Here is a 24,035-nt window from a genome sequence, read left to right as displayed (position 1 = left end):
TCTTTCTTTTCTTGGGAGTGTAGATAAAGTAGGTCTGGAAGCAGCTTCTTTTAAATCTCTCCCCTTCCCTCACTCCAGAGATAGCTCTAGGGTGTGTAGTATGGGAATGCATGCTCTAGATGTTAAGGATGAGATTCTATGACACTTCCTCCTCTTGACTCATTTCACCTCTTGGCCCTTACCCTAGATGAACAGATTTCAGATTTGGTATGTGGTTCTGGGCATTGCATTGAAGTTAACTTCCTTAGATCCACCTGGGAAATTGTGTTCCACTGTGGGTGTAGGCCATCTCACTGGAATTCTATAATGGAATTTGAATGCTTTTTAGTAGTAAAGATTTCACTGGCCCTGGTCATAGTCCTTTAAGAATCTTTCATTAAGATGTGGCTGGTGATGAGCAGAATTGGGATATTCCACGGCCCATAGCCAAATACCATCTCTTAATCTAACCCACATATCCTCGTCTATTGCTATTTCAATAATGAACTTCAACTCCTACTTGAGTAGGGTCGATCAGGTTTTTTTCAATGCCACTGTTTGGGAACATAAGACTAAAATTCACTGGTAATTATTATTTTCTCTTGCTCAATATTATGCCAAAAGTGGGTGGTCATATCATTTGATTTCTATAATCTCTATCTGCATAGACCATGGGGCTTATTACTTATGCAAAGAACATTGTGTATTTGAACCCACAAAGAAACAAACCAGTCAGGAGGATTTTTATTAAAATGGAAATGTCTGCAACAACTAGCCATGGAAATGTGCATTGCCTCTCTTGGGGAGTGTCTGGAGTGCCTGCCACGTGCTTATTCTCAGAAGGAGCAGCATTGAATTGCATGTGAAAGAAATTGTGGAAAACTTTCCTTTTGGAATTTAAAATTTTGTGACACTCCTAAATCCCATGGAAGACAAGAAAGAGCATATAAATTTATGAAACAAAGTATGTTTGAATTTATCTATCCCATGTCTAACAACATAAATATTAGGTAAAAGAAAACATCCGTATGTCCCCTGAAATGCATTTCTGTAACAAACACTAGTTGGGAGAGAATGTGACCCTTCTAGGATTCTAGTCCAGACACTTATTGTAAAATAGGGTAATCAGATGTATTGCAAATTCTCAAATTCTTTGGGGTACAGTTGAGTTGTGGTTTTTACTTTAAATGTCCAGGGGAATGCTGAGGTGAATCCTATCCTGTATCTTTCTGTCAGCAAGAGGTTTCCCACCATGTGTATTGGAACTAGGCCTGTTATTCTTATTAATTCTTTTGCTAGTACAGTAGTGCTATGTTAATTCTGACAGGCTGGTCAGGGTCATATTTGTTTCTAGCCAACTGAATTCTTTGATTCTCAGGCAGTAGACAAATGGGCAACTGGAGAAGAGCGGTGAGATAGCTGCCTTTCATTTAATTTTTATTATTGTTAGGTATTTACATCCATTAGCATGTGTGGTCCCCAGAATATGTAATTGGACATTGGATGCTGTGCTATTCTTTTATGGTCTACAGGAGAACACATAGTTATGGAAAATATGATATAATTCTTTGTGCCCTAGTGGTGGGAACAGTTTTTCAAGTGAAACTTACATAGAAGCTTAACATATAAAAAAAGGTAAAAGTGAAGCTGTGCTATTAGATCCAAGGATATAGAGGGGCCTGCTATGTCTACTTGACTTTCTTTCCTTGTGTTGTCCTAAGAAAAATTTTTTCCTAAGTAAATCACAGTGTCTTGAAAGGAAGTGAAATTGCTGAGGTTAATGTTAACAATATTACTTGTTTACTTATGATTAAGTAGAAAACATTACTTATGTTTACAATATTATTTAATCATTTAACAAGTATATATTGAAAGCCCACTATGTGCCAGACTCATTCTGAAGATGATGATAGCATAGTAATAAATAATCATTGAAAATTTATTGCATTTATCAGGGGTGAATAATCTCAATTCTCTTAATCCTATTATAGAAGCACTATTAGCATCTTAATTTTACAGACGAAATAACTAAGGCTTAGAGGAGTTAAGTACTGTGTTCGAGGTCCCATGAGTAGTAAATCAGAGAGCTGGAGATTTTTACTCTAGTAGTTTGATTCTAATCCCAAACTCTTAGACATTATGCTCCCTATAATATCAAACACTGATTAAAGGCTTACTATGCTCCAGGAATAGTATATATTATATACATATTATATACATAGTATATATTATATACATATTATATACATAGTATATATTATATACATAATATATACACTCTTATATATATTCTTTTAATTCTCTCAGTATTCTTTTGTGCTGACATTATTGTCATTACCCCCAATTTTATGTTTAAGGAAACTGAAGCAAACAAAAAATAATCTCGCTAAGTTCACACTTCAGGTAGTGGCAGAGTTAAGATATAAACCCCAAAAGCATATATATGCTCTTAAATATGATTCTTTAACAAATAAGAATAGTCCATGTTCTCAGGAAGCTTATGGTAGGTCTAGTTTAGATATAGAGATGCAAATTAAAATTTCATCGTAGAAAGACAATATCCTCAATGGAAGTGTAGGCAAAAATTTTAGAAAATGTTAATCTTAGCTTAGTGCCCTAATGGCTCTCTCCTTATCTTTAACCCATGAAAAACTTTTACAGATACCCTTTAACCAGCTCTAGGATTCCTCTGTGTTCTGTCTCCCACACTTCACTTAAAGCTTTGGCCAGCTTTTGGCTTGGTTTGTCTGGTTCTCATATTGGTTTGTACCCAAATTTCACTCTTTGCCTGTGTCTCAGAAATACACGTACTTTAACAATCTGCCTGCTCTTAGGAGCCTGCTGCAACTTTTCTCTCCCTCTCTGGCCTCTCCCCAGATGCTCTGTAGCCTTCCCCTGTGCTATACCCCCTCCTTGGATGAAACACTCCACCCTGGGACAGCAATTTGAGTAAGCTTTCTGACTGGGCTGTTGCTTCTCAGAGTAATGGACCAACATCATAGTTATCCTCTGGGAGCTTGTAAGAAATGCAGAATCTTTGGCCTCACCTTAGACCTACTAATGAGTCTGAATCTCAGTAAGATCCCAGGAGATTTGTATCCTTGAGAGGCACTGGGCTAGGAGGTGAGATCTTACTGGAGATTAGAGGTAGTTCATGTTCACTTGGCGCTGTCAGTGAAGCTCTCACAGTGGAAGTAGTATTTCAATGATTCTAGAGGAATGAATAGGGGTTTTCCAAGGAGATGAAGGAGAAATTTTATGCTGGGAAAATAGTACGTGCAAAGGCATAATTGGGGAACTATTAGTTCCATTTTTTTTGTCTGTAGCATAACATGTGAAAGAGAGAAGTGCGCATAGTGATTTTAAAACATGCTTGCAAATTCTTTGACACTCCTCTAATCAAGGGCCCCATGAATCTGGATGGGCTTGTGACTGCCTTGTCCAATAGAATGTGGTAGAAGTGATATTACTTCCAAAGCTAAACTGTAAAAGGCCATGCAGTTTTCACTTGCTGATAGAACCCTGTGCTGCCACGTCAGATGTTTAAATAAACTGAGACTGTTATGATCATATGCATTAGAATTCACTGAAGCATTTAAATAGGGAAATAGGATATTTGCAAGACAATTGGCAAAGTAAATTAGTTAAAAAGCTATTTCAGTATGTTAGAGAGAAATTAATTATAAGCCTTTGAACTAAGGAAGTGTTCGTTTGAATGAAGAGAGTAAATGTGAAAATTGACTTAGGAAGTAAAATTTGCAGGACTTGAGGTTAAGGCAAAATATTATTTTATTTGGATGTATGGATCATGGGTATTTTTTATTTATTTATTTACTTATTTATTTATTTATTTATTTATTTATTTTTGGGACAGAGTCTCACTCTGTCACCCAGGCTGGAGTGCAGTAGTGTGATCTTGGCTCACTGCAATCTCAGTCTCCCAGGTTCAAGTGATTCTCATGCCTCAGCCTCTGGAGTAGCTGGGATTACAGGCATGTGTCACCACACCCAGCTAATTTTTGTATTTTTAGTAAAGACTGGGTTTCACTGTGTTGGCCAGGCTGGTCTCGAACTCCTGACCTCAAGGGATCTGCCCGCCTCGGCCCCCAAAGTGTTGGAATTACAGGCATGAGCCGCTGCGCCCGGCCAGTATTGTCATTTATCAAAATAGGGAACATAGGAAGAGAGGGAGATGCTTCGTGGGAAGAAAATGAGTATGTTTCAGAACACATTCAGTTAGATATATAGACAACAGTTGGGTTTTGATTGGGACTACTTAATGCATAGGTCACAATATGAAATGTATTCTCTCGTTGATGCCAATTCTGAACAATTGCTGGTGGCTGTCTGGAAGGTTGAGCTGAGGATTCTCAGGGTGGTCTTGGCTTGATGGGAGGAAGAGGAATTATCAGTGACTGATGTTTGTCTGGAGCCAGGCCAAGTAATGTGATCATTTGTCTAATGTGCATTTTCCCACTTTGATGTTATGGTATGAGGTGTTAAGAACTGATTCTATTTTGAAGTAATGATAATCAAGTGGAGGTACCATGGGGAACACCAACTTTTATTTCTTATGAAACGTTCCAGTACTTTGTTAAGTATGATTAAGTCTGCAAATAGGTTTATCTAACCCATCACCATTCATGGAATGATGTTGTATGGGGACCAACCCACTATGGTCCTGGAGAATTTCAAGAGTTGGCAATGATGATGGAGTAGGCTTCCTTGCTTGTGAAAGCAATAGGAAGAAGTAGAATCACGAATTATAAAATTGGAAAGAAATGCGTTTTGTCATTCCAGCCCTCTCATTTTACTGAGAAGGAGATTGAAGCTTGAGATATGCCTTGCTTGAGATCACTTAGCTATATAAGCTTTGCAATCACTTTCAAATCTATATAATTCGATGTACATTTTTCTTATTAGGGACAGCCAGAACAGGAAGCCAGTCTAACTGCACTCTGATGACACTGGCTTATGATGAACTGGATTGATTGCACAGCAGATAGAAACTACTATGTAACTGCCCAGGGTGAAGCAAGGATTCATCTCACATTGAGGAAATCTATTTCCACCCATGGCTCTCAGAAGCTGGTCTTCTGCTTGCTGTTGAGCCCAGAAGATACCTTCAAATTTTCAGGAAAGAAGAGATGACTGGGAAAGTTTCCAGAATGGTGGTTTTTGTAACATCTGTAGCCTCAGAACTTAAGAAGAGCAAGCATAAAATGTGTTTTTGCAAATGTTTTTCATGGATTTAAGACCTAAGCTGTTTAACAGATTGTCTTGCTTAAGAAATATGACTTGTTTTAGCTGACAAGATGGATTTTATGAACTGATTGATCCCAGCTGCCAATTGTCAAAGCCAGAGGATGTTCCAAATTGGCAGTCCCCAAAGACCTGGAGTGGATTGATTTAAGGTGGGGAAAGGAAGATTTGGAGGTGGAGAAAATAGAGTTTTATAAAACTAATATGATTCTGAAAGTATTTGAAACACAAATATCCATTAGAACACACAAAAAGTTAAAATAGTTCAAGCTTCATTCTACTTTGTGAGCTGTTCTAATACCTTCTAAGGCTGTAGGTGCCCTCTTCACCTTTTGTTTGCTTCTCATTGGACTTTTAATAGTAAATAGCACAAAGGATAGAGATATATATCCAAGATTTTATGTATGTATAAAATCTTCACAGCTTCAAAGTTTGAATTATGTACTTTCTGAAGAAGGAACTGTTTCGAGTTCATGAAATTATTCTCTGTATTTTGACAAATTACAAGCATCTACATTTTAAGAAAGACATGGTGAGGCCTTTTGCTTGGATAGATTCTTGAGATGGTAAATGAGGCAGCTGTTTGAAATTCAATTTTTAAATTTTATTCTGATATCTAAGTCCATCTTTGAGCACATTATTGATATTAACAATGCTAATAATGCTGTTAATAATACCACCTATTGGCTATGCAACTTTAGCTCTTTGTGCCTTACATCCCATGTTGGTACTTACCTCATGGACTTGTAAAGATAAAATGAGTTAACCCAGGCAAAGTGCTTAGAATAATGCTTGTTTCATAATTAATGCTTTAAAAGTGTTATTACAATGACAAATCATAACAGTGTGGGGGTAATGCTATAAATATTGCTGATCAAGTACCTAATAAGCTTCTCCATTAGCTGCTAAGGTGTAGGTTAGCCAAAAACATCATTTGCTGTTGTTCAGAGGTTCACATGCCTAGTCTTTTAAACAATGTTTAGGAGAGATCATCTATGATGGGTCAAATTGTATGATGAGATTACAAATGTATAGTTTATGCGTATTGATATTTCCACTTGCAAGTGGGTTTTGTAGTTGAAGTTGCCATGATACTGGGTTTCATTCAGGCACTGAATTTATGAGATGAAACTCTCATGATAGCATAAGCTTCCAAAGCACCAATTAGGCAACTAATTATTTGGATTGGTGATATCTTTTTTATTTGCCTTCTTATTGCTTAAAGGTAGTGACCATCTCTCTTAATTAATTTACATGGCCTCATTGGAAGAAGAGTCAAGTAAAAACTTTTGACAATGAACTAGGTTAACAATGAGGGGCATTGTCAGCACTGCTAAGCTAGATACTGTAAGTTCTAAAGGGAAAATACAAAATGACAGCTGACTCTCCGTCTTCTTTCACTTTCCTCAAAGAAAAGTTTCAGTGAAGGGAAAATCTTATGAAATATATTGGACAATAAATATTTTAAGGAACCAAGGCATCTGGAGACCCACTTCCCAGAAGAAAGAAAGTATCTTGTATTAAGTGAGATGTATCATTATGTGAGTCAATTAATAAAATAAATTAATTATGGACTATTAAAAGTTTATAATCTGAATTTTATCATTCAAAATATAACTAATAAAAATGAAAACGTGATGTAATTGTTAGGAGTATCATGACATAATCAGACAGGCGTTGGTTCAAATTGTGTTTAGTCAGTTTTTATACTTGTGTCTCTGGGCTTATTACAAATGTCTTTGTACCTCATCATGTAGATAATATATATTTGGTAGGGATTACTGTATTATTTGGAGTGAAGCAAAGTCAAATTCTGAGAATATGACTAAGTGCATTTTATTATTTAAATACAATGTCTGGGCTCAGCTTAAGTTTACTCGAGCAGAAAAACCATAATATTTGGAGCAGTCAAGGCGGCATTTTTGTTTTATTATACTTTAAGTTTTAGGGTACATGTGCACAATGTGCAGGTTAGTTACATATGTATACATGTGCCATGTTGGTGTGCTGCACCCATTAACTCGTCATTTAACATTAGGTATATCTCCTAATGCTATCCCTTCCCCCTCCCCCCGCCCCACAACAGGCCCCTGTGTGTGATGTTCCCCTTCCTGTGTCCATGCGTTCTCATTGTTCAATTCCCACCTGTGAGTGAGAACATGCGGTGTTTGGTTTTTTGTCCTTGCGATAGTTTGCTGAGAATGATGGTTTCCAGCTTCATCCATGTCCCTACAAAGGACATGAACTCATCCTTTTTATGGCTGCATAGTATTCCATGGTGTATATGTACCACATTTTCTTAATCTAGTCTATCATTGTGGGACATTTGGGTTGGTTCCAAGTCTTTGCTATTGTGAATAGTGCCGCAATAAACATATGTGTGCATGTGTCTGGGACGTCTCTCAAAATAAGCTATCTATGACAAACCCACAGCCAATATCATACTGAATGGGCAAAAACTGGAAGCATTCCCTTTGAAAACTGGCACAAGACAGGGATGCCCTCTCTCACCACTCCTATTCAACATAGTGTTGGAAGTTCTGGCCAGGGCAATCAGGCAGGAGAAGGAAATAAAGGGTATTCAATTAGGAAAAGAGGAAGTCAAATTGTCCCTGTTTGCAGATGACATGATTGTATATCTAGAAAACCCCATCGTCTCAGCCCAAAATCTCCTTAAGCTGATAAGCAACTTCAGCAAAGTCTCAGGATACAAAATCAATGTGCAAAAATCACAAGCATTCTTATACACCAATAACAGACAGACAGAGAGCCAAATCATGAGTGAACTCCCATTCACAATTGCTTCAAAGAGAATAAAATACCTAGGAATCCAACTTACAAGGGATGTGAAGGACCTCTTCAAGGAGAACTACAAACAACTGCTCAATGAAATAAAAGAGGATACAAACAAATGGAAGAACATAACATTCCATGCTCACGGATAGGAAGAATCAATATCGTGAAAATGGCCCAGTGCCATCCCCATCAAGCTACCAATGCCTTTCTTCACAGAATTGGAAAAAACTACTTTAAAGTTCATATGGAACCAAAAAAGAGCCCGCATTGCCAAGACAATCCTAAGCAAAAAGAACAAAGCTGGAGGCATCATGCTACGTGACTTCAAACTATACTACAAGGCTACAGTAACCAAAACAGCATGGTACTGGTACTAAAACAGAGATATAGACCAATGGAACAGAACAGAGCCCTCAGAAATAATGCCACATATCTACAACTATCTGATCTTTGACAAACCTGAGAAAAACAAGCAATGGGGAAAGGATTCCCTATTTAATAAATGGTGCTGGGAAAACTGGCTAGCCATATGTAGAAAGCTGAAACTGGATCCCTTCCTTAGACCTTATACAAAAATTAATTCAAGATGGATTAAAGACTTAAATGTTAGACCTAAAACCATAAAAACCCTGGAAGAAAACCTAGGCAATACCATTCAGGACATAGGCATGGGCAAGGACTTCATGTCTAAAACACCAAAAACAATGTCCACAAAAGCCAAAATTGACAAATGGGATCTAATTAAACTAAAGAGCTTCTGCACAGCAAAAGAAACTACCATCAGAGTGAACAGGCAACCTACAGAATGGGAGAAAATTGTTGCAATCTACTCATCTGACAAAGGGCTAATATCCAGAATCTACAAAGAACTCAAACAAATTTACAAGAAAAAAACAAACATCCCCATCAACAAGTGGGCAAAGGATATGAACAGACACTTCTCAAAAGAAGACATTTATGCAGCCAAAAGACACATGAAAAAATGCTCATCATCACTGGCCATCAGAGAAATGCAAATCAAAACCACAATGAGATACCATCTCACACCAGTTAAAATGGCAATCATTAAAAAGTCAGGAAACAACAGGTGCTGGAGAGGATGTGGAGAAATAGGAACACTTTTACACTGTTGGTGGGACTGTAAAGTAGTTCAACCATTGTGGAAGTCAGTGTGGCGATCCCTCAGGGATCTAGAACTAGAAATACCATTTGACCCAGCCATCCCATTACTGGGTATATACCCAAAGGATTATAAATCATGCTGCTATAAAGGCAGCATTTTAAATCCAAAACTTTCTAGTCTCCTCTTTCTTCCAGGAAAGGGTATTGTCAGGAATAGGAAAATCAAGCCAATGAAGGGTTGTCTATGCCTATTGTTAAAGGGCTTAGATGGAATTATTTCTGATAGGCACCATCAAGAAGACCAGATGATTCTACTACCCCTTCCAAAATATTTCATATAAGAAACATCACAAGAAAACATATAGTAAATCTACAAAAATAAAGATTGGTTTTTTTTACTATGCACTAGCTGTTATACCAAGTAATTTACATTTAGTGACTTTATTGAATGGATACTACTATTAGCAATGTATAATAGATGAAGAAACAAAGTCTCAGAGTAATTAAATTTCTAGGCTTACGGAGCTAGTAAACTACAGAATTAGGATTCAAACCTAGGTTTGACTCTGCTATATTTAGGTATGCCAAATGATGGTTATTGTGTACTCAAATTTTAGGTATTCAAAGAAAAGAAATCTACAGGTTGAAGTGATTTGGTAAGTCTCAATGGAGGAGGCATGAAGTTATCTGTGTTCTGAAAAGCAAGTAGGAGGGTATTTCAAGTGGGAGGATGGCAGCAGGATAAATACAGATGTGTGAAGCTTCACAATACATTCTTGCATTAATTAGTTGACCAGTTTGACTCAAAGAGATTATTCTCTAAGGTGATCATTCAAAGATAAGATTTTCTTTTAAATAGCTTTATTACTGGGGGTGGGGCAAAGATGTCCAACTAGAAGCATTGGCGTTTACTAGAAGCAGCGGTGTTCGGAGGCTACCATTTTAAAAAGAAACATAATAAGCATGTGAATCCTTCACCAGCAACCAAGGCATCCAGGTTCTTTCATCAAAATTGACTAGAAGGCTGGCATGACCCACGGAGAGAAGGAACAGTGTGGTGCAGCAGCCCACCTGAGAGCCACAGGGGTAGGGGAACTCCCTCCTCCCAGCCAAGGGAGGTGGTGAGCGTGCTACCCAGCTGGGGAAACTGTGCTTTTTCCATGGACTGTGCAACCGATGGATTGGAAGGTCCCACTCATGAACCCACACCACACCGGTGCAGAGTCCCAACCCTGGAATGTGCAGATTCTTACAGCTTCTCAGCTGGCATCTGCTTAAGCCTACCGAACTCCCAGGGGAAGGGGTGAACAGTGCTGGCTGCCACTGCCAACTGTCTAAGCCTTTTGAGCTCCTGTAGGGAGGGGCAGGAGCCAGCACAGGGACTGGAAACTGTGGAACACACTAAGCTCCCTGGGCAGGCGGAAGGGCGGCACCCATTTCTATAGCTCTAGGCTGTACTTTTTCCCCTGCTGGAGCCAGGGAGGCTGAATGGCCTGGTCCCAACACTTGTCCCTGTAGCCCAACACAGCTGTTGTGGCAGTCGTGGGCAGAGTGCCTCTGAAGGCTTAAACCTGACCCATATTTCCTCATTGGGTGGCCTTCCCTGCAGGATCTCCAGTAACTCCAGCCAGAGGCTGGATGAATTTGGATATCCCTGGGCCTGAGCCCCTGGATGATAACAATTAAAAGAGCTAGAGAGGCAACAGCAAACTAATCCAAAAGCTAGCAGAAGATAAGAAATAATTAAGATCAGAGAAGAATTGAAGAAATAAGATCAGAGAAGAATTAACTAAGATCAGAGAAGAAATAACTAAGATCAGAGAAGAAGGAGATAGAGACACAAAAAACCCTCCAAAAAATCAGTGAATCCAGGAGCCAGTGTTTTGAAAAAACTAACAAAATAGATAGAACACTAGCTAGACTAATAAGAAGAGAGAGAAGAATCAAATAGACACAATACAAAATGATGAAGGGGATATCACCACTGATTTCACAGAAATACAAACTACCATCAGGGAATACTATAAACACCTCTACGCAAATAAACTAGAACATCTAGAAGAAATGAATAAATTCCTAGACAGACAGACTCTACAAAGACTAAGCCAAGAAGAAGTTGAAACCCTGAATAAATCAATAACAAGCTCTGAAATTGGAGCAGTAATTAATAGCCTACCAGCCAAAAAAGGCCCAGGACCAGATGAATTCACAGCTGAATTCTACCAGAAATACAAAGAGGAGCTGGTACTCTTTGTTCTGAAATTATTCCAAACAATTGAAAAGGAGGGACTCCTGCTAATTCATTTTATGAAGCCAGCATCATCCTGATATCAAAACCGGGAAGAGACACAACAAAAAAAGAAAACTTCGGACAATATTTCTGATGAACATCGATGCGAAAATCCTCAATAAAATACTGGCAATCCTAATCCAGCAGCACATCAAAAAGTTTATCCACCACTATCAAGCTGGCTTCATCCCCCTGGGAAGCAAGACTGGTTCAACATATGCAAATCAATAAACATAATCCATCACATGAACAGAACCAAACACAAAAAAAAAAAAAACCACACGATTACCTCAATGGATGCAGAAAAGGCGTTTGATAAAATTCAACATCGCTTCATGTTAAAAACTCTCAATAAACTAGATATTGATGGAATATATCTCAAAATAATAAGAGCTACTTATGACACACTCAAAGCCAATATCATAGTGAATGGGCAAAAGCTGGAAGCATTCTCTTTGAAAACTGGTACAAGACGAGGATGCCCTCTTTCACTACTGCTATTTAACATAATATTGGAAGTTCTGGCCAGGGCAGTCAGGCAAGAGAAAGAAAGCGTATTCAAATAGGAATAGAGGAAATCAAGTTGACTCTGTTTGCAGACAACATGATTTTATATTTAGAAAACCCCATCATCTCAGCTCCAAAACTCCTTGAACTGATAAGCAACTTAAGCAAATTTTCAGGATACAAAATCAATGTGCAAAAATCACAAGCATTCCTATACACCAGTAATAGGCAAGCAGAGAGCCAAATCATGAATGAATACCAATCACAAGTGCTACAAAGAGAATAAAATACCTAGGAATACAGCTAACAAGGGATGTGAAGGACCTCTTCAAGGAGAACTACAAACCACTGCTCAAGGAAATAAGAGGACACAAACAAGTGGAAAAACATTCCACCCTCATGGATAGGAAGAATCGATACCATGAAAATGGCCTTACTGCCCAATGTAATTTATAGATTCAGTGCTATTCCTATCAAACTATCATTGACATTCTTCACAGAATTAGAAAAAACTATTTTAAATTTCATATGGAATCAAAGAAGACCCTGTATAGCCAAGACAATCCTAGGCAAAAAAGAACAAAGCTGCAGGCATCATGATACCTGACTTCAAACTATACTGCAAGATTATAGTAACCAAAACAGCATGGTACTGGTACCAAAACAGACATATAGACCAGTGGAGCAGAACAGAGACCTCAGAAATAGTACCACACATCTACAACCATCTGATTTTCAACAAACCTGACAAAAACAAGCAATGAGGGAAAGGATCTCCTATTCAGTAAATGGTGCTGGGAAAACTGGCTAGCCATATGCAGAAAACAGAAAGTGGATCCCTTTCTTACTTACACCTTATAAAAAAATTAACTCAAGGTGCATTGAAGACTTAAATGTAAAACCCCAAACCATAAAAACCCTAGGAAAAAACCTAGGCAATGCCATTCAGGACATAGGCATGGACAAAGACTTCATGACCAAAATGCCAAAAGCAATTACAGCAAAAGTCAAAATTGACAAATGGGATGTAATTAAATTACAGAGCTTCTGCACAGCAAAAGATGCTAGCATCAGAGTGAACAGGCAACCTACAGAATGGGAGAAAATGTTTGCAATCTACGCATCTGACAAAGGTCTAATATCCAGAATTTACAAGGAACTTAAACATATTTACAAGAAATAAACAACCCCATCAAAAGGTGGGCAAAGGATATGAACAGACACTTCTCAAAAGAAGACATTTATGCGGCCAATAAACATATGAAAAAAAGCTCAACATCACTGATCGTCAGAGAAATGCAAATCAAAACCACAATGAGATACCATCTCACACCAGTCAGAATGGTGATTGTTAAAAAGTCAGGAAGCAATAGATGCTGGTGAGGCTGTGGAGAAATAGGAATGCTTTTACACTGATGGTGGGGATGTAAATTAGTTCAACCATTGTGGAAGACAGTATGGCGATTCCTCAAGGATCTAGAACCAAAAACACCTTTTAATCCAGGAATCCCATTACTAGGTATATACCCAAAGGAATATAAATCATTCTGTTATAAAGACACATGCACATGTATGTTTACTGCAGCACTATTTACTATAGCAAAGACATGAAACCAACCCAAATGCCCATCAGTGATAGACTGGATAAAGAAAATGTTGTATGTATACACCATGGAATACTATGCAGCCATAAAAAGGAATGAGATCATGTCCTTTGCAGGGACATGGATGAAGCTGAAATCCGTCATCCTCAGCAAACTAACACAGGAACAGAAAACCAAACACCACATGTCCTCACTTATAGTGGGAGTTGAACATTCAGAACACATGGACACAGGGAGGGGAAAAAACACACACCAGGGCCTGTTGGGGGCTGGGGAGTGAAGGAAAGGACCTTAGAGGACGGGTCAATAGATGCAGCAAACCACTATTGCACAGGTACATCTATGTAACAAACCTGAACATTCTGCACATGTATCCCGTTTTTTATTTTTTAGAAGAAATTTTAAAAAAGCTTTATTGAGGTATGGTTGACATGTAATACACATTGAATATCTAATGTGTACAATTTGATAAGGCTTTTTTTGTTTGTTTGTTTTTGAGATGGAGTCTTGCTCTGTTGCCCAGGCTGGAGTACAGTTGCACGATCTTGGCTCACTGAAACCTCTGCCTCCTAGGTTCAAGCAATTCTCCTTCCTTAGCCTCATGAATAGCTTGGAATACAGGTGTGCACCACCATGCCTGGCTAATTTTTGTGCTTTTTTAGTAGAGACAGGGTTTCACCATGTTGGCTAGGCTGGTCTCAAACTCCTGACCGCAAGTGATCTGCCTGCCTTGGCATTCCAAGGTGCTGGGATTACAGGTGTGAGCCACTGCACCCAGCAGATAAGTTTTGATATATGTGCATAACTGTGAAATTATCACCACTATCAAGATAATAAACACATCCATCATTGTCAAAAGTTTCTTTGACAAAATATTTGCAAACTATTCATCTGACAAGTTACTAATATCCGTAATGTACAAGAAACTCAAATAACTCAATAATGAAACCAAATAATCTCATTAAAAAGTGGGCTCTGGCTAGGCACAGTGGCTCACGCCATATGATCCAATAATCCCACTACTGTGCGTTTATCCAAAGGCTAAGAAATCGATATGTCAAAGGAATACTTGAACCAGCATGTTTATCACAGCACTATTTACAATAGCAAAGATATGGAATTAACTTAAGTGCTTATTGATGGACAAATGGATATAGGAAATGTGATATATATATATGTGTATATATATATGTGTGTGTGTGTGTGTATATATATATATATATATATACAATGAAATACTATTCTACAATAAAAAAGAATAAAATCATGCCATTTGCAGCAACATGGATGGAACTGGAGTCATTAAGTTAAGTGAAATAAGCCAGTCACACAAAGACAGATGTATTAGTTTTTGCATCACTATAAAAAAATCCCTGAGACTCAGTAATTTATAAAGAAAAGAGATTTGATTGGTTTATGGTTCTGCAGGCTGTATGGGAAGCATAGTGCTGGCATCTGCTTCTGGTGAGGGCCTCGGGAAACTTCCAATCATGGCGAAGGTGAAGGGTGAACTGGCACATCACATGGTGCGAGAGGAAGCAAGAGTGGTGCGGGGGTGGGGTGGGGGGAATGCGTCACACTCTTTTAAACAACCAGATCTCACATGAACTCAGAGCGAGAACTCACTGATTACCAAGAAGATGGCACTAAGCCATTCGTGAGGGATCTGCCCCCGTGATCAAAACACCTTCCACCAGGCCCCACCTTCAACATTGGGGATTACATTTCAACATGAGATTTGGAGGGAACAAGCATCCAAACTGTATCATCCATAATAAATGCAATATTTTGTATCAATAAAAAAAGTTTGAGTGTCTTTGTAATTCTTCTTTTCCAGCCCTTCTACTTTTTTACTTTCTGGTTCCCAGGCAACCATTAGTATGCTTTATTTCTTTTTAATAAATTAACAGCATTGTAAGTATTTACTTCTGTCACTATATATTAGTATGTATTTTCTAGAACTTTATACATATGTTGTCTGGCTTCTTTGACTCAGGATAATTATTCTGAGGTTCATCTATGTTGCAGTATGCATTTATAGTTCATTCTTTCATTCTTTTTGTTGCTAAGTGGTATTCCAGTCCATTCACCTGTTGATGGACATTTAGGTAGCTTCCAGTTTTTGGCCATTAGAAATAAAGCTACTATAAGTGTTCAGATACAAATCTTTGTATGGACCTACTCTTTCACTTCTCTTGAGTAAACACCTAGGAATAGAATGGCTAAATCATATGGTATGAGAATGTCTGATTTTTTTTAAATGCCAAACTGTTTTTCTAAGTGGTTGCATAATTCTACATTTCTAGCAGCAGTGTGTGAGTTCCATTTCCACTTGGCATGGTCATAGATTGAAAGGGAGGTAGAAAGCAGATAGAGACACATATGCCTACCAAAGGGATTTGAAATGTAATTTGAAAGCAACAGAGATCCATTAAAGATTTCAAATGAGGGAGGGACAAGGCATATGAAGTGATTTAGGAAGCTAGCTTAGATGGCACTGAAATAGTCCAGACATGAGAAGGTAAATGTCTGAACTGGTGGAATGTGAGTGAAAATGGAAAAGAAGGGAAGATGCAAAAAAAGAGTGTAAAGAAATAGTTAATGAGACTTGTTTTATTTTGGTTTTCCCCTATAGGACTGAAAGGAGAAATTCAGTTGTACTTTTTTAGCTTGAGAGGCTAGATATGTGGTATGATTAATATTAACAGAAAAGTCAGGAGGTACATTTTGGGGAGAGAAAATGAGAATGAGAATGAGTGGGATTTAGACATGTTGAAATTTAAGTGCATTCACCTGTCTTTCTGGAATATTTTGTGTCTAGGTAAATGTTTGCACCTTGATTCAATTTCCCATGAATTTTAGATGGCCATATGAACACATAAAAGGGGAACATTGGAAAGAAGTTAGAGGTAAAAGTTTCCAGTGAAATATGGACGGGTAAGAAGAGTAGGGTGTAGAACTGGGGTGGGGGATTTATGGTGGGCTGCAGAGGAGTGGTGGAGGCATGTATTTGGGAGACTTTCCCCCACATAAATTATAGTTCAAGCTGAGAGATATGGATGACCATTTCAGGGGCCATTCATGGTATTTTTAAAGATAATTCAGGGGTAGAATGATTGAGAATCCTGTTCTTGTTGTGATAGTCATCATTTTCCAAGTTGGTAGATGAACTAGAGCAGTGGTCCCCAACATTTTTGGCACCAGGGACCATTTCATGAAAGACAATTTTTCATGGATGGAGGGGTGGGTGTGGTTTCTGGATGAAACTGTTTCACCTCAGATCGTCGGCATTAGATTCTCATAGGAGCATGCAACCTGGATCCCTCGAATGTGCAGTTCACAATAAGATTTGCACTCCTATGAGAATGTAATGCCACTGCTGATCTGACAAGAGGCAGAGCTTAGGTGGTAATGCTTGATTGCCCACCACTCACCTCCTGCTGTGTGGCCCAGTTCCTAACAGGCCACGGACTGGTACTGGTCTGTGGTCTGGGATTTGGGGACCCCTGAACTAGAGTCAATCTCTGCCTAGTTCTTTATTCCAGCTAAGTTTTTCTCACTTCCCACCATTGCTGGGAAAAACTCTGTCCATTTATTTATCTTGATTTAGCCTAGGGATATACAGCCAGGAATTTGAGTCTACTGTTGAATCTTTAAAGGGTATTTCCAGGACTCAAACAACAGTGTTGCATGCAATGTTACCGAGCCTTAGGGAAATGTAGTTTAAAATTTAGCTCAGGGAAATTATGCTCTAGGCATTTCTTAGCTTCAGGGAAATTATGCTTCAGACAGTTAGAATTCATATTTAAACAACTTATGCCAAATATTTTAAAAAGTCTCTTAGAGTTTATGGACTAGAGTAATGCTTTATGGACTGCTGGCAGGTTATGTGTTTGGCAGTGAGCGAGCCAAAATATGGCACCCACCATGTTGTAATAGAACTAGTTTTTGTGAGAAATGCTTTGGATGGTCATGATGGTGTATATTTGGAGAAGGACTTCCCACTCCAATCCCACCCACAACTAACCACACACATGCTGAGACCTCTTACTTCATCATGAAATAGTAACAGTGATACTTCTTAACAGTTTGTAAGAGAGAAAGTGTTTAAGTGTGATTTTTCTAAAAAAGGAAAACACTCTGTAATGATGCCTCAGGAGACATAATGAGTTATGTTGAATTTCTGCCAGTATTTTCATTCTAAAGTGGTTGATTTAAATATAGTGCTTTTTGAGGATTGAGATAAAAATTAAATATTTTTTTCCTGATTCTTTTTCCATTCTCTTTGTTTTAGTTAGGATAACATTCTATGTGTCAATATTGGCATTTCTTGAACGCTCGATATTTGTTACATTGTGTAACATCCTGGTTAAGTCCTTTGATTTTCATGAAAGATGGCTGTATCAGTTATCTATTGCTGTATAACAGGTCTCTACAAACTTTAGTGATTTAAAACAATACAAATGATTTTTAAAAATCTCAGGTGGCTTCTTTGGTCAAGAATTCAGGAAAGGCTGAACCAGCCAGTTTTGACTTGGGTCTCTCATGTCTTGAAATAAGCTTGTTTCAAGACCCAAGGACCTCACTAAAACTTCTTCACTTACAGATTAGGTTGTGAGGGCTAAGGACTCCAACAGCTTGGGGCTGGAATATCGGAGCCTCCCTACATATTTCTCTATCTATGTGGTTGCTTCATGCTATTTTTCCAGTATGGGAGCTTCATGACAGGGGGACTTGGTAGATGTTGGCTCTGAGATCTCAAGGTGTGTGTCATAGGAGACAGAAAGAAAATGGAAACCATATCATCCTTCATGACCATGCCTGGTAAATCAGTGTCCCTTTCAACATAATCTATTGGTTGATGCCATTATGAAGGTCTGGCAGGTTCAAAGTGAGGGAGTACAGACCACACTTCTTGATGGAGAAGTGGTGATATCACACTATAAAAGAGAAGGTGGAGTGGGATATGCATTGGTGCCTCCCGGTACTTAGATGGTTGTCTAACATTGATGACTGACTTTTAAGAGGCTAGTTAAATAATACGGCCTCGAATTTTCTGCTGCTCTTTGCTCATTGAAACCTCAGTTGTGAGAAATAGTATTCAGAGAGGATGTTTTAAGTATTCTAGTTTTGTCCCTAGATCAAATCAGATCATCAGACAGCTTTTTGGATCCTTGTAGAAATACTTGACCTGACTTGACCTTTGTCATGCATTGGGAGAAGCTATGTGAAGTGGCCATGTAAAAGTCACTAATGCACCAAATACAGAGATGTTTAATTCATACCACTCCCTCTTGCACCAATATTTCTCTTCTCAGCCAGTAGCATGTTGTCCACTCACTTCCCTAGTTAGAAACCTGTGTGTTTTCCTTAAGTTCACCCTTTACTTCATATCCAATTCATCACCTATTCTTACTATTTCAAATCTATACCGTTCTTTACACATATACCTGGAGATGGTTGTGCACTGCAAGAGATGAAAGCCAATTTGATTTTAATTGCTCATTTTTGGATTAAAATCAATGAGAGAAATCATGAAAAGAGAGCAGTTTTCCAACAAACTCCTTAGGGTCCTGAACCACAGACAGACATAGTAATTATTGGACTGATATAATTGCATTTCATATTGAACTAATTAACCATTATTTTTCTTATTGTGCCTGGAGTTTTTAACTTTGTCAGATTCACACATAAGCTTTGTTGATTGTTATAATTTTTTGGACCGGGGTACAGAAGGTTGATATAATCATATTTCTTAGCTCATGGATAGTGCCGTCATGGATTTATGTAAGGTTTATTTTCTAAAAATTTATTCTCTTTATCTGCATTCTCCACTTATACTTGTCCCACCTACTCCCATAGGTAGCTATTCTAATGTGTTCACTGTATAGTTTTCTGCTTTGATTATACTCTTATTAAATGCTTATTACTGCTTTGTTTCTATGTATTTGTCTTTTACATTTACATAAATGATATTCATCTATAGATCTTATTCTGTTTCTTACAGAAGTTCTCTTAGAACTATGTTTTAAAAATACATTCAGATATCTAGTCCAATGCTTCAATTTTATAAAGTAGTTTTAAAAAGTTTCTTTTGACTTAGCCTCAACTATTCTTTTTTTCACAAATTAAAAGTATAGGTGTATTGTTTCTCAAATCTAGTTTTACTTATATTTTAATTATAAATTTGATTGCAGTTTACCATAGCTTGAAAGAGTATCAATCTCCTTCTCTTTTCAAAGGTGCTCATTTTGTACTCATCTTTTAATTCCATTCCTGTCATTGAAGGATAGTTATTCTTTATTTCTAAGAAATCTACTGCTTAAGACTCTTCATTTAACCATTTCTGACTAAGCAAATGTTTGAAAAGGATCAACAGCAGTGGCACACTGAACTCAGGAATCCCACTATTCATATCTGAATCTGATTTTAGGGCATATTTGGACGGTATTTAACAAATACGCTGTAAATTTCTGTCTGGCATTTAACTGTATATTTTTCTAATCATGGGATTAAAGCATCAGCAACTATGTGTTTATTCATTCTGACTATTTACCACCCTCTTGACATACTGACGTGGGTATAGGGAGGTCATTTCCGCCTTTGGCTTGTCTTGGTGAGTACTTGCTGGCTTTGATTAGCAGCACCATGGAGCAATCTGAAATACATTAGTATCAATGGAATGGAAATCTTAGTGGTTTAAGTATCACTATTAGTATACACAGAATGTCTGAAACTCTACATTTCTGTCTTGGCTGCATCTCCTCCTTCCTTGACTTTCCAAGGTTCTGTCAATAAAGTCCTAAGTAGCTGACTACTTGGATAAGATCTAGAAATCAAAAAGACTTTCAACTTTTAGACAGAGGGATCACTTTATTGACCTGCTGAAAGTTTAGGTCCTTGTGGGTACACATCGAAATTAATTAGAGCATTAGGTCAAAAATTAAATTTACTTATTATTAATCTTACTCTTAAGTAGAAGAGCATTACTTGCACATAATGTTTATATCAGACAAATAAGCAGGTATTACTTAAAGACTTTGTGGATGGCATATGGACAGAATCAAATGGCAACAATTTCTTTTTGGCCTTGTACTTGGCGAAACTCTAATACAAAATAGGTAGGAAAGGCTGGGAAAGGAGCATAGGTTTAGAATAGTTGACATGAATCAATTGTTTGATTGTGCATGACAGGCTTCTCCTTGCTTGGTGCCCTTTTTCTCCTTCCCTTTCTTCCCTTGCAGTTTTCCATGCCCCTCCTTTTTTCCCTAACCCTCCTGCCTGGCACAGAATTCTAGACAATCATCAGGGAGGAATACGTCAAGTTGGAATTGCTGACAGTGAGGATATTTGTTAGCAAACATGAGAAGCCATAAACATTAGCTTGCTGGCAAATATGGAGCTGACGGAAAGGAGGGGGGCCCTGTGAGTTCAGTAGGGCTCTTCTCACTCAGGAAGCATACAGCCATTGACAACTTAGGAAATGCACCTCCTCTCCTCCTCTTTTGCCAGGAAAAACACAACCTTTGGAGAATAGGGGCATAAGAAACTGCTGGTGTAAGGCCTTTCTGTGCCTGCTGGCACTTGAAGTCACTATTGCTGTGGTTAGTTTTGCTCATTCTTGGTCTCACTGTGCATGACTTGGGCCTGATTTATCTTTAATTACCCAAGGGCTGTGCAGTTCTGGAGGATTTCAGTAAAAAAACTTAATCTTGAGATTACTAAAATGGTCTTTTCCTCTTGAACTGAAGCTGAAAGTACGTTTGATGTCCTTTGCATTTAAGTGGTACTCCCACTGTGTAAGAGCAGCCTTCTTTTTACCAAAACAACAACAAAAACAGCAGCAACAACAGTGACAAGAACATTAGGTCAGGAGACATAAGTTTAGATTGGTTTCTATTCAATTTTTGTTGTGTCCCTTTACTTTTTTTTTTTTTTCTTTTTTTTTTGAGACGGAGTCTTGCTCTGTTGCCAGGCTGGAATGCAATGGAACAATTTCGGCTCACTGCAACCTCTGCCTCCCGGGTTCAAGCGATTCTCCTGCCTCAGCTTCCCAAGTAGCTGGGATGACAGGCATGTGCCACCATGCCCAGCTAATTTTTGTATTTTTAGTAGAGAAGGGGTTTCACCATGTTGGCCAGGATGGTCTTGATCTCTTGACTTCGTGATCCACCTGCCTTGGCCTCCCAAAGTGCTGGGATTACAGGTGTGAATGACTGTGTCCCATAGTCCCTTTACATTTTAATGGGTTTTGTGATAGTTATGGAACTATGTGAACCATGAAGCCAATTAGAAATAGGCTCTTTTTTAGCTCAAGATGAAAAGTCTCCTCCCTCACAGCAAAAGCTACAGAGAACTAGAGTAATCATGCAAATTCTCAAACAATCAGAATCACCCATTAATCAGAATTCTTTTAACCTTTGAATTTTATAAGAAATAGATAAACAATAGGACAATAAATGTCAGTGATGAATTTATACTAAACTCTTATAGATTATAACCTAACATCAGTGCAGCTCTGCCTCTATTTCTTAACCTCTGACTTCATGGTTATGGGATCAAAGTAACTGATCTCCAAAAGTATGACCTTAGGGACCTTAGATATCTGAACCATCAAATAGAAATTAAATTATATTCTCCATGCTGTACTGAATAAATCCGAAAAATAGACTAATATATTTATAAACATTTTAGGTCCTGAAGATTGAAATAGGAAGGATTTTTTCTCTTCTTCACTTCTGAGTTGACCAGAAAATTCAATGACCTAGAGCATCTCCTTCTCTGAGTTCCAATCAATTGTGGTTTTGGAGTGTTTACTTAGGGTTCATGTTGCTCGAGCTATGTGGAATCATATTGAACTGGTCATACCCTCATACATCAGGGAACTTAAGTCACTAAGGCACTAGCTTAGTTTTCCAAAGGTGAGTGAGATTAAACTCCTGCCTTTAGAATCAGACCCGTATGTGTCTTAGCACACCCAGGATTCCATTCTCCCTTCCCCCACCAGCCGGCATGAGGGCAATACCAAATCCAGCCCACCTTTAGTCTCCTTTGCCCTCTTTTTACCAAGACCCTGGGTATTTCTCTCACCAGATTAACTACTTTCTATAGAGATACCCCAGAGGAAGGCTGTATTAGAAACCCATTACAGGATAATGTTCCAAGAAAATTATTCTTTTGAAGCTTTGATTTGAAACTCATGCTTCTCATTAATACAGGCAACTGGAAGCTGGGAGACTTGTCTCTGAAAAGAGCTTGTTATGAACTGGGGAAGCAGCTTGAATCCTCAGCATGGATGTACAGAGTTAAAAGCAAAGCCAGGCAAGAAATGAGATCAAGTCTGGAGTTATGTATCTGTTAGTAATTTCAGATCCACGTGACTAGAGAGCAACAAAATACTTGTTCTCTAGCAGTTCTTTTGAAAGACAGGTCAGCAAAAAGTTGAAGCAGAATTTTAACTTTGATTTTTATTCTAATTTGAAAGTTTTTCTTCTTAAATTTAGGCCATGCAGACATCCCTGTTATCCCTGTTAAGTGCTTGAGTCAGAGCACAACCAGCTATCACATATCATCCGATTCTGTCCTTGACATGAAAAAATAGCAGAGAAGGAAAGAATTCCTTTGGGGACACAGCATGCTTTGTATCTTTTTAATTTTTTTTTTTTTAAGGAGAGAATTATCCAGGCAAAACTTGGTTGTCAGTAAAGATGTTTGTTTTGATTGGCAATCAGCATGTTTAGTCTGAGAAGCAGGGACTTTGGGCTCAGAGGTAAGGCCTGAAGATGAATCCAAACTGAAGGAGAGCAGAGAAAATGGTGGAGCAGTGAAGTGGTGGCTTCAGCTCTATTTCACAGAATCAACCTGATTTTTACTTACTCAACTGGAACTTTTTACGAGTGTGAAATGTGTACATGTTTTTCTACCTATGCACTTGTGTCTAGGCCTAGGTTTACAAGGAGTATTTGAGGTCAGAGTGGCAAGAGGGAATAATATCGAAGTTCTTCTTTTGGAAGCTGTCATAGAATTTTCCAAAGTGGAGAATGGAATGGATCCAAACCACTCAAGAGAATTCCTCCAGCTTTTTTTCTTCTCATTTTCTCTTTCTTGTTCTTTCCACATTTCACTTCATTCAACAAATATTTATTTAATATTTCCTATGAGACTCAGCACAGTGGTTAAGAGCAAGTATTCCCATTAGATCCAAATGTAAATTTCTTAAGCTTCAGTTTTCTCATCACTAAAACAAGGACAAAAATAGTATTTATAGCAATGATTATAGTCAAGATTGAATGACATGATCTCTGTTAAGCACTTAGTACAGTATGTCATTCATTTCTCTAATTAAAAAATTTCTCCATGATGAAATCCAGACACTTAGCAGTAAATCACATAGTTAATTAAAATTATATTACTAGTCTTCAGGATGATTTCCCCTAGAAGTGATTTTTAAATTGCGGGGGAGAGAAAGGGAGGGG

At 38.1% G+C, this 24,035-nt stretch overlaps 2 long non-coding RNA genes across 4 annotated transcripts in view; both read left to right on the top strand.

Annotated features, from left to right (window-relative positions):
• LOC107986312 (uncharacterized) overlaps nt 1-6,824 on the top strand; it is a 53,794-nt gene extending 46,970 nt beyond the window's left edge. The window contains exon 2 of the long non-coding RNA XR_001741826.1: nt 4,903-6,824. This is a non-coding gene — a long non-coding RNA (uncharacterized LOC107986312). The remainder of the gene's footprint in view (nt 1-4,902) is intronic.
• Nucleotides 1-24,035, top strand: part of LOC102724210 (uncharacterized) — a 396,780-nt gene that overhangs the window by 235,264 nt on the left and 137,481 nt on the right. The window lies entirely within an intron of this gene.

The sequence above is a fragment of the Homo sapiens genome, chromosome 4 (genome assembly GCF_000001405.40).
Source record: "Homo sapiens chromosome 4, GRCh38.p14 Primary Assembly".
NCBI classification, from domain to species: Eukaryota; Metazoa; Chordata; class Mammalia; order Primates; family Hominidae; genus Homo; species Homo sapiens.
Note: the sequence above shows the minus strand (reverse complement) of the source record. Positions and strands in the feature narration are given on the sequence as shown.